Source organism: Homo sapiens, chromosome 6 (genome assembly GCF_000001405.40).
Source record: "Homo sapiens chromosome 6, GRCh38.p14 Primary Assembly".
Classification (NCBI taxonomy): domain Eukaryota; kingdom Metazoa; phylum Chordata; class Mammalia; order Primates; family Hominidae; genus Homo; species Homo sapiens.
The window spans coordinates 65,680,820-65,695,459 of NC_000006.12; the positions used below are offsets into that span (position 1 = coordinate 65,680,820).

The 14,640-nt window shown below is 35.9% G+C and overlaps 1 protein-coding gene across 3 annotated transcripts in view, besides 1 other annotated feature; it reads right to left on the reverse strand.

Annotated features, from left to right (window-relative positions):
* The window catches only part of EYS (eyes shut homolog), a 1,987,247-nt gene that overhangs the window by 1,960,840 nt on the left and 11,767 nt on the right, over nucleotides 1-14,640 (reverse strand). The gene's annotated exons all lie outside the window — the stretch shown is intronic.
* Nucleotides 13,040-13,209: an enhancer, noted in NCBI's record as "experimental_93446 CRE fragment used in MPRA reporter constructs". NCBI's record gives its function as "activates a minimal promoter by MPRAs in K562 erythroleukemia cells, with activity observed for the introgressed 6:66403837 variant allele {active_cell/tissue: K562}" and the evidence as "EXISTENCE:reporter gene assay evidence [ECO:0000049][PMID:34662402]".

Here is a 14,640-nt window from a genome sequence, read left to right on the forward strand (position 1 = left end):
TTCAATTCAATTCAATTCTCACACTCTACCTCGATGTAGCAACTGAGCTACATCTAACTCTATTCAATTCTCACACTCTACCTTGATGTAGCAACTGAGCCACAGGTTGAAGGTTCAGTTTCACGAGATTGCCTCCCACTGGCCACCGGTGATCATTTTAACCTTCAGCCCCAACTCATCCCTAGAGCCTTGGTCTATCTGGCAACCAAATGTCATCATCTATGGGGGCCAACAGCTGTCAGCCAACTTATTAGCATATTAGAAGACTTTGGAGATTCTAAGGATTCAATTCAATTCTCTAACTCAATTCAGTTCTCACACTCTACCTCGTAGCAAATGAGCCACAGGTTGAAGGCTCAGTTTCATGAGATTGCCTCCCATTGGCCACCAGTGATCATTTTAACCTTCAGCCCCAACTCATCCCTAGAGCCTTGGTCTATCTGGCAACCAACTGTCATCATCTGTGGGGGCTAACAGCTATCAGCCAACTCATTAGCATATGAAAAGACTTTGGAGATTCTAAGGATTTTAGGAGTTGTATTCCAGGAAATGGGGTCAAAGACCAAATGTATATTTCATAATACCACACTTTGAAGAAAAATTTAAGTGAAATTAAATCAATATCAATATTTCAGTGGAAAGCTTCAGTGAGGAAGATAATTTAACAAAGGAATTAACTTTTTGCTTTACGTTAATGATCTTCACGATATAGCAGAGCTGAATTACAATGGTAGGCTACAAGCCTTTATTTAAATTTTCCCCTTAGACATGAACAATGTGTTTTATGCTAGCAGAAGACATGAGACTCCTGGGCCAGAGACAAAAGACCTTATTACTTATGGCTTAACAGGCAGCATAAATATCATTCTCCTGTCCTCTGACCAAGACAATTTTAATGTTCCCCTCAGCTTGAGTAAATGCTAAACAGATTTCTTCTTGATTTTAGGCCCCTGACTTCCTTCGCCCTTTGAGATGTAAAGAATCTTTGAGCCTCTTGCTAGTTTTATAGCTCACGTATATTTGTCTTAAGAACTTGAGAGCCATCCTTCTAAAAATCTAATCATTAAGAAATATAGTGCCTCTACCTGTCAAGCTCTGTGAGAGAGTAGGACTCTGACTTTGGTAAGTGCCAATCAGCAAACACAGCCTAATCACGTTGACCCCTACCTAACAAATAGTCTTCAATACTTTTCCACTAGGCTACTCCAGCAATTAAAAACTCTCCTGCCTTTTGTTTCAGTGGTGTTGAGTTCAATCTCTCCCCTACTGCAATAGTCTTAACCACAATTGCAATATTGTTGAATAAAGTTTGCCTCCCTGTTTAGCTGTCAGGTGCAATTTTTCTTTGAAATTCTGAAGTCTCTTGGGAGCAATGAAGAGTGGTCCAGGTAGAAGCTGCAGTAATAGTTTGTTTATGTCACTGCTGAGAAATACAAGCATAGGAAACTCCAGTTTCATCAGAGGGTTGCTAGCAAGTCTGTCCAATCTTAGCTACGGAGTGGGAAGAAAACATGGTATTTATTATCCTGATTAGGAGACAAATCTTGTCTCTGACCCAAAAGGAAACCTTATCTGTATCTTCCAAGGCTTTTAGCTATCCTAACATATGTCATAAATAATTTTATATATAAGAGTTAATACTTACATAATAAATGTTTGTTCATTTGGTATATTATAATTTGAAAATATTAAAATATAGTTATTTCTTGAAATACAAATATTTTTATTATTCAATCACATATTAGTTTATTTAATACAGTGTTCAACAAACATTTTTATAGATTGCCTAATATATATCACATGCTATGATCAAGAGCTATAAGACACAGTAAATTCATGCTCTCCGGGAGCTCCAATATAGCAGCTAAATAATTTTCTAGTTGTGTACCACATTCAAAGAAGTCAGAGCCAGAGCACAGAGACAAATACAGAGTTTCAAGAGGTGATGCTAAATTTATCAGACAAGGAGAAGGAAAGGCCATGTATATAGTAAAAAGAAAGAAAAGAAGGTAAAATGGCTTTAATATGGAGTATCTGAGGGAACAGTAAATACCATATGAGAGTGGCTAGAATTACCTGGAAATATAAACGCGGTCATGGCAGAAAGGAAAGTTTAGGCCACTATCAATAAGTTGGGCTTTATTTGTAAATGATGTGGTGTCATTTAAGCATTTTATGCAGAACAGTACTATGTTCAGATATGGATCAAAGAGAGGCAATGCTCTACACTGAGACTGTTATTAGAAACTGTCATAGTCTTGAATTAACTACAGGGAATATAAATTCCCAAACCTTCTTTACCCATGGTGTATTCATTTCAAAAATATATTTGATGTGTTTTTATCACTCACGATAAAAATTGCCAAATTGTTTCTCAAAAATATTTTACAGCAGTATTATATCTTCATTAGAATTTAGTTTTAATGTCAGCACATCTGATGAAAAATAGTCTAAAGTCAAAATTATCCTTGTCAGTTTCTGATAAAGGTGCCATTTTGAAGATCCACAATCTGTCTTTCAAAGTACTAGGTTACTCCAGCAATGAAAAACTATCCTGCCTTTTGTTTCAGTGGTGTTGAGTTCAATCTTTCCCCTATTGCAATAGTCTTAACTACTATTGCAATAATGTTGAATACAGTTTGCTTGCCTGTTTAACTGTCAGGTGCAAATTATCCTTGTCAGTTTCTGATAAAGGTGCCATTTTGAAGATCCACAATCTGTCTTTCAAAATAACAACACTACTTTTTTCTCCATGGTAAAACAGTTTACAATTCCTCCATGGAAATATCAGATGAAGTAGTGGCTTGTATTTAGGGTCCATGTTTTATTAAGATAAGTACTCTGTTTTTAAAAACTAGCAGCACATTCAGTGCTTACTGAAGCTCACAGTATCAGGGACATGAGTTGGAACTGACAAGGATTGAGAGAGCAGCAGATTCATATTTTCTTCCACAACCCACTGGGTCTAGGACATATACTCAGCAGAATGGCAGGCAACATTTCCAACAGTATCTGAATGTATCCACTCCCTCTCTCAACCATGTATAATTAAAGCCAAGTAATTTAAATAGAACCAGTGCAAATGGACTATACTGTGTTTTTATTTCATTTTCTTTGCAATAATGCTAATTTTGGACCAAAGTTTTAGGCAAAGGGTATCATCACTGTTAAAAGGGGAAAAAGCTGGTTTTCCTTTTGGTTTCTGTTTATTCTTTAGTGGATTGTAGATTAATATTCATTGCCTTAGAATTTATTAAAGTCATGATACTTGCCAATCAATTTTTGTATAAGCAATTTGTTTGGTGGAGATGTAACATGATAACAATAAGGACTGATTTATTGTCTTCAAATTCTGATAAAACCAGGATTGAAAACAATAGGAGACAAACATTCTGCTATGTTACAGAAGGGTGCGAGACACAGTCATGCAGGATTTAGTTAAAAATAGCAAATCCTCTTATCTCCCCAAGCTCTACAAGAAAATAATAACATTTTAATGGATTATTTGAAGGGAATTAATAGGCTATAAAGAAAGCTGTGGCACTTCCTCTGTCAGATGGTGGGAGGGGGTCCTTTTCCTAAAGCCAAACGTGGGAGCACGTTCAAAAGAATGTAGAGAGGACACCCGCCAGCACCTTCTTTCTCAAACAATGTTTGCTGAGCTGCAGAAATGTATAGACGCTATATGGTACAGAAATGAAGTGTTGTGTGAGAGTTTTTGATACACGTTTGTGTGTGTTCTAGAGAATTTGGTAATATACATGAACCTAGGGGCTGTTTTCCACTGGAGAAGTTTAAAAGCAGCAGCAGTCTGTTTTGAGATACTTCCCATGGTAAGGTGAGGAGAGAAGGGTCAGCAGTTAAACATGTGTCCTTTTTTTTCCACCTTTTATTTTAGGTTTAAGGGGTACATGGTTAGGTTTATTACATGGGTACATCGTGTGTCACGGGGTTTTGGTGTTCAGATTATTTCATCACCCAAGTAATAAGCATAGATATGATAAGTAGTTTTTCGTTGTTGTTGTTTTCTCTTCTTTTGTTTTTCTTTTGTCTTCAACCTCCTCCCACCTCCCATCCTCCACCCTCAAGTGGGCCCCGGTGTCTGTTGTTCCCCTCTTTGTGTCCATAGGTACTCAATGTTTAACTCCAACTTATGAATGAAAACAGGCAGCCTAAAGATGTATAGGGCTTCTATGGCCTGAGGAGATGATGCGGATAATGGGCTGGCTCCTGTTATTTTTATGTAGTCCAACCTATAATAGGGTTAGAGTGAGGGTAATAAGATATGGAAGGAATGTTTTCACATGGGTCACTCTATAAGGGCATAGCCTATACTAGACAGGTGAGTAGGGACAAAGTCCCTGTAGCACTTCCAAAAAACAGCAAGCCTGATATATGAAGAAGAACCTCAATTTGAATGATGGACACATAGAGACGTCAATGGCCATATTTCAGCAGCATTTTTTCTCTAATTCCTTTGCTCACTTCCTCTATTGTTTCTTAAACCTAGAATCAAGAATCAAGTCTGTGCTGGGAAGAAAGAAGCTACGACTACGACATCAAATTGAAGTTTTGTTTATATAAACTAGACATTTTAATGTCTGAATGTGTCAGAATTACCATAATAAAATTTTTCTTTTAATTGAAATTGATTGGAAAGCCAATAGATAGACTTAAGGTTCAGCAAAAAGAATTTACTAGAGTATAATTGAAGGCAAGGTCTGGAGAAAAGTAAAGTATTTTCCTATTTATATCACATAGAGTTCAACCTTCATTCCCTGTTCAATATACCAGCTGCAAGAGTATTAATCATTTGGCATATTTGCCTTAATATTCTCTTTTTGTTGTTTTAACCTCTTTTTATTTCCATTACAGCGAAATGTGTGTTTCCATGCATATGTGAGAGAAGACAGTTAATATGTCCAAATTTCATATTTTCCTTTGTAATCTATATCTTTTATGTACTGAATGAGTCATTCACATTCTAGAAGGTACAACAATGTTGCAATATATTCTCATTAAAATTCTAATGCCTTCAATCCTCAAATTAATATTCTAAACATTAAATTCATATAAAATATATTTGATCACTGTTCTAAGGTAAGTACAGAAGACCATATGGTGTGCTTCCCAGATCTCCGTTCAAGACTGAAAAACTTATTCCCCCATCTACTGGAAGTGCATTGCGAGATTATTTCGAGCTCTTCCTCAACTTCAGGAATTGTTCTACCTGAAGAATGTTGCCTTGATTAAGATCATGTTCTTCCCAGTGTCACCCTACATCTAATGATAGCCAGATGCAGGTATAAAACAAACAAACAGACTGAAAACCTAATCCTTTCTTTTCTACTTAAGATAACCTGAAGGGACATCTCTAGAGGTCTTTATTTAGACTGTATCAGAGCCCATTTTCTCTGGCGTTCTTCCCGGCTCTTCCCCAGAAGACAATGCTAAGAGCCCTTAATTGATACTGATGTCTACCTCTGCATCTTGAAAAATCTAATATGGGACAGAAAAGACTGAAATCAGTCCTCCTCCAAGGTCAGAAGCCATTTATTACAATGCCATTTTTTAGTAATTATTATTTTCTTTCTGGTGCTCCAATGGCTCCTTGATCATACAGTAAGGAGGCCTATGTAGTGGAGTCGACGCGATTATGTGGTTATGCACGTGTATGCTTCTGTGCTTGTGCTAGCACACACACAAACACATACGAATACATAAACACACATATATAACATATGCTCACACATAAATGGGGAGAACAGGAGGATTCATATGTTTGTTAAACAAACTACAAAATGAAAGATAAATACAAATGAACTTTTAAAATATCACTTTAAGGAATTCTTATTTATCCCTTGGGTAATGGGTTGTTTTTAAAGCAAGAAAGTATTATTATCTGAATTTTTTCCTAAAAGGCAAATAGTAGCCATGTGTTGTATACATAAACAGGACCAATGCAAAGGTCATTATAACACATGAGGTGAGAGATGATGAATACCTGAAGCTGGGTATTGACACTGGTAAAAGTTAAGAGGTACTCATTGGAAGCTAGAATTGATGGGGCTTGGTGACAACATGAAAAATTGAAAGGGAGCTTTTTTTTTAATGTTATAGGCTATTTAAATCGATTTTATTAGAACACAAAAATGTTATTTTTAATTTAAAGTATTAGAAGTATAATTATTCTATAGAAATAAAAGGCATAATATATTCTTTAGTCACACATTTATACCTAGACTAGTTTCACGCATGAGTGATAAAGGATGCATTAGCCATATTACTGTTCTTCTTGTGTTTTTGAAACCAAGAAATATTCAGATTTAAGTTTATACATCTTTAAAGCATAAAAAATGCAACTGAATAATTTATGAGCAGTAGCACTGAGACTACTTAAAAAGAATACAGCAGTATTTGAAAAATTACATACTAAAAATGCAAGGTTATATATGCAAGAAAAAAGACAAACTCAAGACAATATTTCAGGATCTATAAACATAACAGTCCAGTTGGAAATTTCCAGCTTTAAATATGACATATGCTGATGTGAATGACAATAGAAAAAATCTGAATAATTTAGGGACATATCAAGGTCAAATAACTCCCTACTTTTCCGCCTTTTGTAATAAATTACCACCTCACTTTTCCAGCAGTAAACCAACCTCTAAGTAGAAAGATTCTAAACATAAACAGATAAAGATTATGTGGGATGCCCTCTCTCACCACTCCTATTCAACATAGTTTGGAAGTTCTGGCCAGGACAATCAGGCAAGAGAAGGAAATAAAGGGCATTCAATTAGGAAAAGAGGAAGTCAAATTGTCCCTGTTTGCAGACGACATGATTATATATCTAGAAAACCCCATCGTCTCAGCCCAAAACCTCCTTAAGCTGATAGGCAACTTCAGCAAAGTCTCAGGATACAAAATCAATGTGCAAAAATCACAAGCATTCTTATACACCAATAACAGACAAACGCAGAGCCAAATCATGAGTGAACTCCCATTCACAATTGCTTCAAAGAGAATAAAATACCTAGGAATCCAACTTACAAGGGATGTGAAGGACCTCTTCAAGGAGAACTACAAACCACTGCTAGATGAAATAAAAGAGGATACAAACAAATGGAAGAACATTCCATGCTCATGAGTAGGAAGAATCAATATCGTGAAAATGGCCATATGGCCCAAGGTAATTTATAGATCCAATGCCTCCCCATCAATCTACCAATGACTTTCTTCACAGAATTGGAAAAAAAATACTTTAAAGTTCATATGGAACCAAAAATGAGCCCACATTGCCAAATCAATCCTAAGCCAAAAGAACAAAGCTGGAGGCATCACACTACCTGACTTCAAACTATACTACAAGGCTACAGTAACCAAAACAGCATGGTACTGGTACCAAAACAGAGATATAGACTAATGGAACAGAACAGAGGCCTCAGAAATAATGCTGCATATCTACAACCATCTGATCTTTGACAAGGCTGACAAAAACAAGAAATGGGAAAAGGATTCCCTATTTAATAAATGGTGCTGGGAAAACTGGCTGGCCATATGTAGAAAGCTGAAACTGGATCCCTTCCTTACACCTTATACAAAAATTAATTCAAGATGGATTAAAGACCTAAATGTTAGACCTAAAACCATAAAAACCCTAGAAGAAAACCTAGGCAATACCATTCAGGACATAGGCATGGGGAAGGACACCAAAAGCGATGGCAACAAAAGCCAAAATTGACAAATGGGATCGAAGTAAACTAAACCTACAGAATGGGAGAAAATTTTTGCAAACTACTCATCTGAAAAAGGGATAATATCCAGAATCTACAATGAACTGAAACAAATTTACAAGAAAAAAACAAACAACCCCATCAACAAGTGGGCAAAGGATATGAACAGACACTTCTCAAAAGAAGACATTTAAGCAGCCAAAAGACACATGAAAAAATGCTCATCATCACTGGCCATCAGAGAAATGCAAATCAAAACCACAATGAGATACCATCTCACACCAGTTAGAATGGCGATCATTAAAAAGTCAGGAAACAACAGGTGCTGGAGAGGATGTGGAGAAATAGGAACACTTTTACACTGTTGGTGGGACTGTAAACTAGTTCAACCATTGTGGAAGTCAATGTGGCGATTCCTCAGGGATCTAGAACTAGAAATACCATTTGACCCAGCCATCCCATTACTGGGTATATACCCAAAGGATTATAAATCTTGCTGCTATAAAGACACATGTGCATGTATGTTTATTGTGGCACTGTTCACAATAGCAAAGACTTGGAACCAACCCAAACGTCCAACAATGATAGACTGGATTAAGAAAATGTGGTACATATTCACCATGGAATACTATGCAGCCATAAAAAAGGATGAATTCATGTCCCTTGTAGGGACATGGATGAAGCTGGAAACCATCATTCTCAGCAAACTATCGCAAGGACAAAAAACCAAACACCGCATGTTCTCACTCATAGGTGGGAATTGAACAATGAGAACACATGGACACAAGAAGGGGAACATCACACACTGGGGCCTGTTGTGGAGTGGGGGTAGGGGGGAGGGATAGCATTTGGAGATATACCTAATGTTAAATGACGATTTACTGGGTGCAGCACACCAACATGGCACATGTATACGTATGTAACTAACCTGCACGTTGTGCACATGTACCCTAAAACTTAAAGTATAATAAAAAAAATTATGTGTAAAAATTAAGATAAATTGAAAAGTAGAAAAAATTATCCTATATTATTTTGAGTTGCTGTGATATATATGAATATAGATATGTTTAATAATAACATAAGTATTTTACTGCTTCATCCTGTTTTCAACTTTATATGATCTTCCTTTAGAAAATCTACTTTTTTATATATACTTTAAGTTCTGGGATACATGTGCAGAATGTGCAGATTTGTTACATAGGTATACATGTGCCATGGTGGTTTGCTGCACCCCTCAACCCAACATCGCCAGATATTGTGGGATCTGGCCAGCAGCCCTCAATGCAATGGGGATCTCTCTTTGTTCCCAGACAGATCGGCAGGTCGAGAAATAACAGACACACACAAGATAGTGAAAGCTGGGTCCAGGGGGGTCACCGCATTCTGGTCCCGCAGTACCAACAATGCACTGGATATACCAGCATTTATTACTAAGTTTAGTGAGGGCGCGGGTAGGTTAGTGAGGGATTTAGGGTCATTTCATTATGAGGTGAGATGGTCACATGGGGATGAAGTAATTCTTTAACATAACATCTGTATGCAGAAGTACAGTATACAGAGGTAAGAATTTACAATATAGTGTGTGCATCAGTAATTTCTAACAGAGCCTTAAAACAGAAACAGTCTTTCTATAACCTATGATTAGCAAGATATTAATCAGCAGTAACAGTTGCAGCAAAAGCTGGTTACAAACAATCCATAGAAGCAGGACGTGAAGCTAGACAACCAGTTAGACCAGAAATTCTCAGAAGGGAGTATGCCTTAACCCTAAACAGACCTAGAAGACCCGTGGCAAGATGAGGGCGTTTATAGCCCTATCTTATCCATATGGACAGGTGCCCCTCATGCGTCCGTTTATAAACTCTCCACAAGGGTCGCATTCCATTCCCAGAGCTATGAACATCTGCTTTTCTGGGATAGGAATCTTGGTGATGTGAAACCTCCCTGACTGCACGTCCATTCATAGGCTCTCTGCAGGCGGAAGCACATCACGCGCTGTTGGCTCATTCTGGCAGTCCAACCTGGCATTGTCTTAACACAATCCTGCATGCAATTTTGTATTTACAATAATCAGGAGCATTTCATCTTTTATTCCGTAGCAATAGTTTCACGGGGTCTGCCTACATCAACCCATCATCCACATTAGGTATTTCTCCTAATGCTATCCCTCCTCTAGCCCCCCAGCCCACAACAGGCCCCCAAGTGTGTGAGGTTCCCCTCCCTGTGTCCATGTGTTCTCATTGTTCAGCTCTCACTTATGAGTGAGAACATGTGGTGTTCGGTTTTCTGTTCTTGTGTTAGTTTGCTGAGAATGATGCTTTCCAGCTTCAACCATGTCCCCACAAAGAACATGAACTCATCCTTTTTTATGGCTGCACAGTATTCCATGGTGTATATGTGCCACATTTTTTAAATCCAGTCTATCATTGATGGGCATTTGGGTTGGTTCCAAGTCTTTGCTATTGTGAATAGTGCTACAATAAACATACATGTGCATGTGTCTTTATAGTAAAATGATTTATAATCCTTTGGGTATATCCTAGTAATGGGATCACTGGGTCAAATGGTACTTCTGGTTCTAGATCCTTGAGAAATCGCCATTCTGCCTTCCACAATGGTTGAACTAATTTACACTGCCGCCAACAGTGTAAAAGTGTTCCTATTTCTCCACATTCTCTCCAGCACCTGTTGCTTCCTGACTTTTTAATGATCACCATTCTAACTGGTGTAAGATGGTACCTCATTGCGGTTTTGATTTGCCTTTAACTAATGACCAGTGATGATGAGCTTTTTTTCATACAATTGTTGGCCGCATAAATATCTTCTTTTGAGAAGTGTCTGTTCATATCCTTTGCCTACTTTTTGATAGGGTTGTTTGTTTTTTTACTGTAAATTTGTTTAAGTCCTTTGTAGATTCTGGATATTAGCCCTTTGTCAGATGGATAGATTGCAAAAATATTCTCCCATTCTGTAGGCTGCCTGTTCACTCTGATGATACTTTCTTTTGTTGTGCAGACAATCTTTAGTTTAATTTGATCCCATTTGTCAATTTTGGCTTTTGTTGCCATTGCTTTTAGTGTTTTCGTCATGAAGTCTTTGCCCATGCCTATGTCCTGAATGGTATTGCCTAGGTTTTCTTCTAGGGCTTTAGGGTTTTAGGTCTTACATTTAAGTTTTTAATCCATCTTGAGTTAATTTTTGTATAAAGTGTAAGGATGGGGTCCATTTTCAGCTTTCCACATATGGCTAGCCAATTTTCCCAACACCATTTATTAAATAGGGAACCCTTTTCCCATTTCTTGTTTTTGTCAGGTTTGCCTAAGATCAGATGGTTATAGATGTGTGGTGTTTCTGAGGCCTCCGTTAAGTTCCATTGGTCTATATATCTGTTTTGGCACCAGTACAAGTTACCTCACTTGTATGTTTATTGCAGCACTTCTCACAATAGGAGATATGAAATACACTTAAGAGTCCATCAGTGGATTATTGGATAAAGAAAATTTGTACACATAAACACAGACCATGCAATACTACTCAGGAATAAAAAAGAATAAAATTATGTCTTTTAGGTGGAACTGGAGGCCATTATACCAAGTGACAAAGTCAGAGACAGAAAGTCAAATATTGCATATTTTCACTTGTAAGTAAGAACTAAATAATGTTAACAGTGAACATAGAGCGTGGAATAATAGGCATAGGAGACTTGGAAAGTGGGGAGGTGACGAATGAGAAATTACCAACGGGTACAAAGTACAGTATTTGGGTGATGTTTACACTGAAGGAGTGAACTTCACCACTGTGCAATATAGCCATATAATAATACCACACTTGTGCTCCCTAAAACTATAAAAATAAAATTAAAAAGAAGCAGAATATGAAAAAATTGACATAATTCATAGAAAACACTAAATATTAATTTGAGGTACTTAGTTTATTAAAAGAAGATCTTTTCATACTTGTTTCCTGGTAATGAAAAAAGTGGATATACATTTTTCCTTGTGATATTATAATTGTAAAAGATGTCACTACAATGATAAATATAAATGGAAAGTATAATTTTCCAATTAATCATTTATAAGAATTGTTTTCCATAAGGAACTACAAAGGGACTAAAACATATAATTTTTTTGGTTCTAACACGACATGTAGTATTTATAAACATGTAGAACTATCCAGTTCTGGAGAAAGAAAGTCATTCTTTAAAATATGTTTTCAAATTGCTACAATTTTAAAAAAAGGTGGAAAGACAATTTTCAATACTTTGCATTATATTTTGTTTGAAAGATATACTCTAGGCTAATTTTCAACTCATAGAGAAGGTTTATATTTTACTTTTTAGAATTTTGGAAATAATAACTGCACCATTACATTGTAAGTTTTTGATCCCTTCTTTCATATGGTCTTGGCTCCTGAGATACCTAGATGCTCAGACATCTATTAAGCAAATAAATAAATAAATACCATACACTTCAAGGTGAGACAAAGCTTTGTAAAATGGTCTTCATAAGTAGCACTACACAAGAAAATAATATAAAGCATTCTATCAAATTTCCCAATAATAACAAGAAGTCAAATAGATTTCATCGCTTCCTTCCTTTCTTCCTATTTTCCTTCCTTCTCTTTCTTTTCTTCTCTCTCCAGCCTTACTTCTGTTTTATTTTTTCCCTCTTTCCTCCCTTTTTCCTCTCTCTTTTCTCCCATTTTTCTCCTTATGTATTCTACAATGAATTTATGCTGCATAATTTTACAGTTCATATAGCTTGTAACTTTGTAAAAATGAAGAAAACATGTAGGAGAGCTCTGATAGAGACACAGCCCTCAAAAGCAAACAATCTTCTTTTTTCCTTTCTTTTTTTTTTTTTTTTTTTTAAGTCTTGGGCCATAGTTACAACAAAACTGTACCAGTGGTGGTTTATAAAATGCAAGAGAAAGAAAGATGTTTGGCATTTTAGGGACACATTTGCTAGTACCATCCTGATTTTTAACATGAGGTTACAAAAAAAACCTATTTTACAATAAAACCTGCAGAAGTCACTAGTCTGATATTTAATATTAGAGAAGTATTAAGATTTGGAAAATTATAGAATTTCAAGTATAAAGATAATGACAGAGAAAATTAGGAAAGGATAATAGGAGGAGTAAGAACTTGCTTTTATGCATCTGAGTTTAGAAAATCCATCTGAATTTTTTTAAAAAGACATGAAGTAAACGCAATGAGATATGGAAGATCCTATGTGTCTTGTGAAATAATGGCTCATAAGACACTGAGGAAATGGTCAATAGACAAATCTAAGCACCCATCTCAGCTTGCACAGTACATTGCTGGTTTCTATGGGTTGTCCTAGACCTTTGTTTTCATTTTAATTGCTTTAGTGTTTACTACTTTTAAGAATGTCCTGATTTTGATGCTATAGTCACCTGATGAATACAGAACCCCCACAAGGAGGATGAAGAAAGTAGATAATATCTAAGATCAATAAAAAGACTGAAACTTTTGTTCTATAACTGAACATGATTGTTTAAAAATTATGTATAATAACAAAATTAGCCAGGCGTGGTGGCACATGCCTGTCTGTAATCCCAGCTACGCTACTCAGGAGGCTGAGGCAGGAGAATTGCTTGAACCTGGGAAGCAGAGGTTGTGGTGAGCCAAGATTGTGCCATTGCACTCCAGGCTGGGCAACAAGAGCAAAACTCTATCTCAAAAAAAATAAAAAATAAAAAAATATATATATATGTATAATAAAACATATGCACTCTGTGTAAACTAGTATGTAAATATTTTTAAATTTAGTAACTTATGGAGTTTAATCATATTGCCATTTGATTCTTCATATTTTTTTTTTGTCTCTTGAAGTTGTGATGCAATTTAATATTTTTGGTGATTGTTAAAAGAAACTTCTTCAGGTATATTTTTAAAAAGACAAATATTTGCATTTAAACTAAATTACTCCTTCTTGATTATAATTTCTAAGCAGAGATCGCCCTTGTGTAATCAGTAGTATAGAAGAGGCTCAGGTAACTAAAACTATAAATATAGTTAACAGTGTACTTTCTGGGGTCAGCCTGCCTGACTTGGAATCCCAGACCCAACACTGACTGGTTATTTCACCTTCTGCAAATTGATGCACTTGTGCAAAATGATGTTAACTAGCAACGAGGTAAACCATTGGCTTGTTGTAGATTTAAAAAAAAAAAAAAAACTTTGTAAAACCCTTAGCCATTTATATTTGTCCATAGTTTGCTCTGCTATGTTAGATTGGGAAGACAAAGGAAAAATGTTCATTTTCTTCCTTCAAAGTGTTTAATAATCTCAAGAAAAGACAGTATTGCGTAAGAAAAATTATTAATAAAATATAAAATTTGATATAATGACTAAGAGAGAAAATTCCTTAATCTCCCTGATAAAGTCATAAAAATTTTCAAAATGAAGGAGAATTTGAGGTGAGACCAGAAAGCTTAGGAAGAGTTGAAAGAGAGCAAAGGCAATAATTTGTGAAAAATATACATTTTACAAGAAAACTACATATCATTCAGTGATACTGAAATATAATATGCAAGGGCAAATTAGGTGTCCATGTACATAGAAATAAGTGTTCATTTAGTTTCTTAAATGATTAGGCACCACTGAGAAATTTTCAACAGCGAGTTATGTGTGGAATATTTTAAAAATATCAACCTCTGGGAAAAGTTAAATATAGATTGCAAAATTAGAAGAGACATGGTATTTATCACCCTTGTTTGGCAAGATTATGACAAATAATATTACAGTAGGATTAATAATATTTCCCGAAACTCTCAGAAGGTATATGGCTAGTGAAGAGTAGAATTAAAACACAATTCTGTTATTAAACTGCAGGTGTTCTGAGAAATTCTACTGCATTTATTGAATTTTAATTTGATA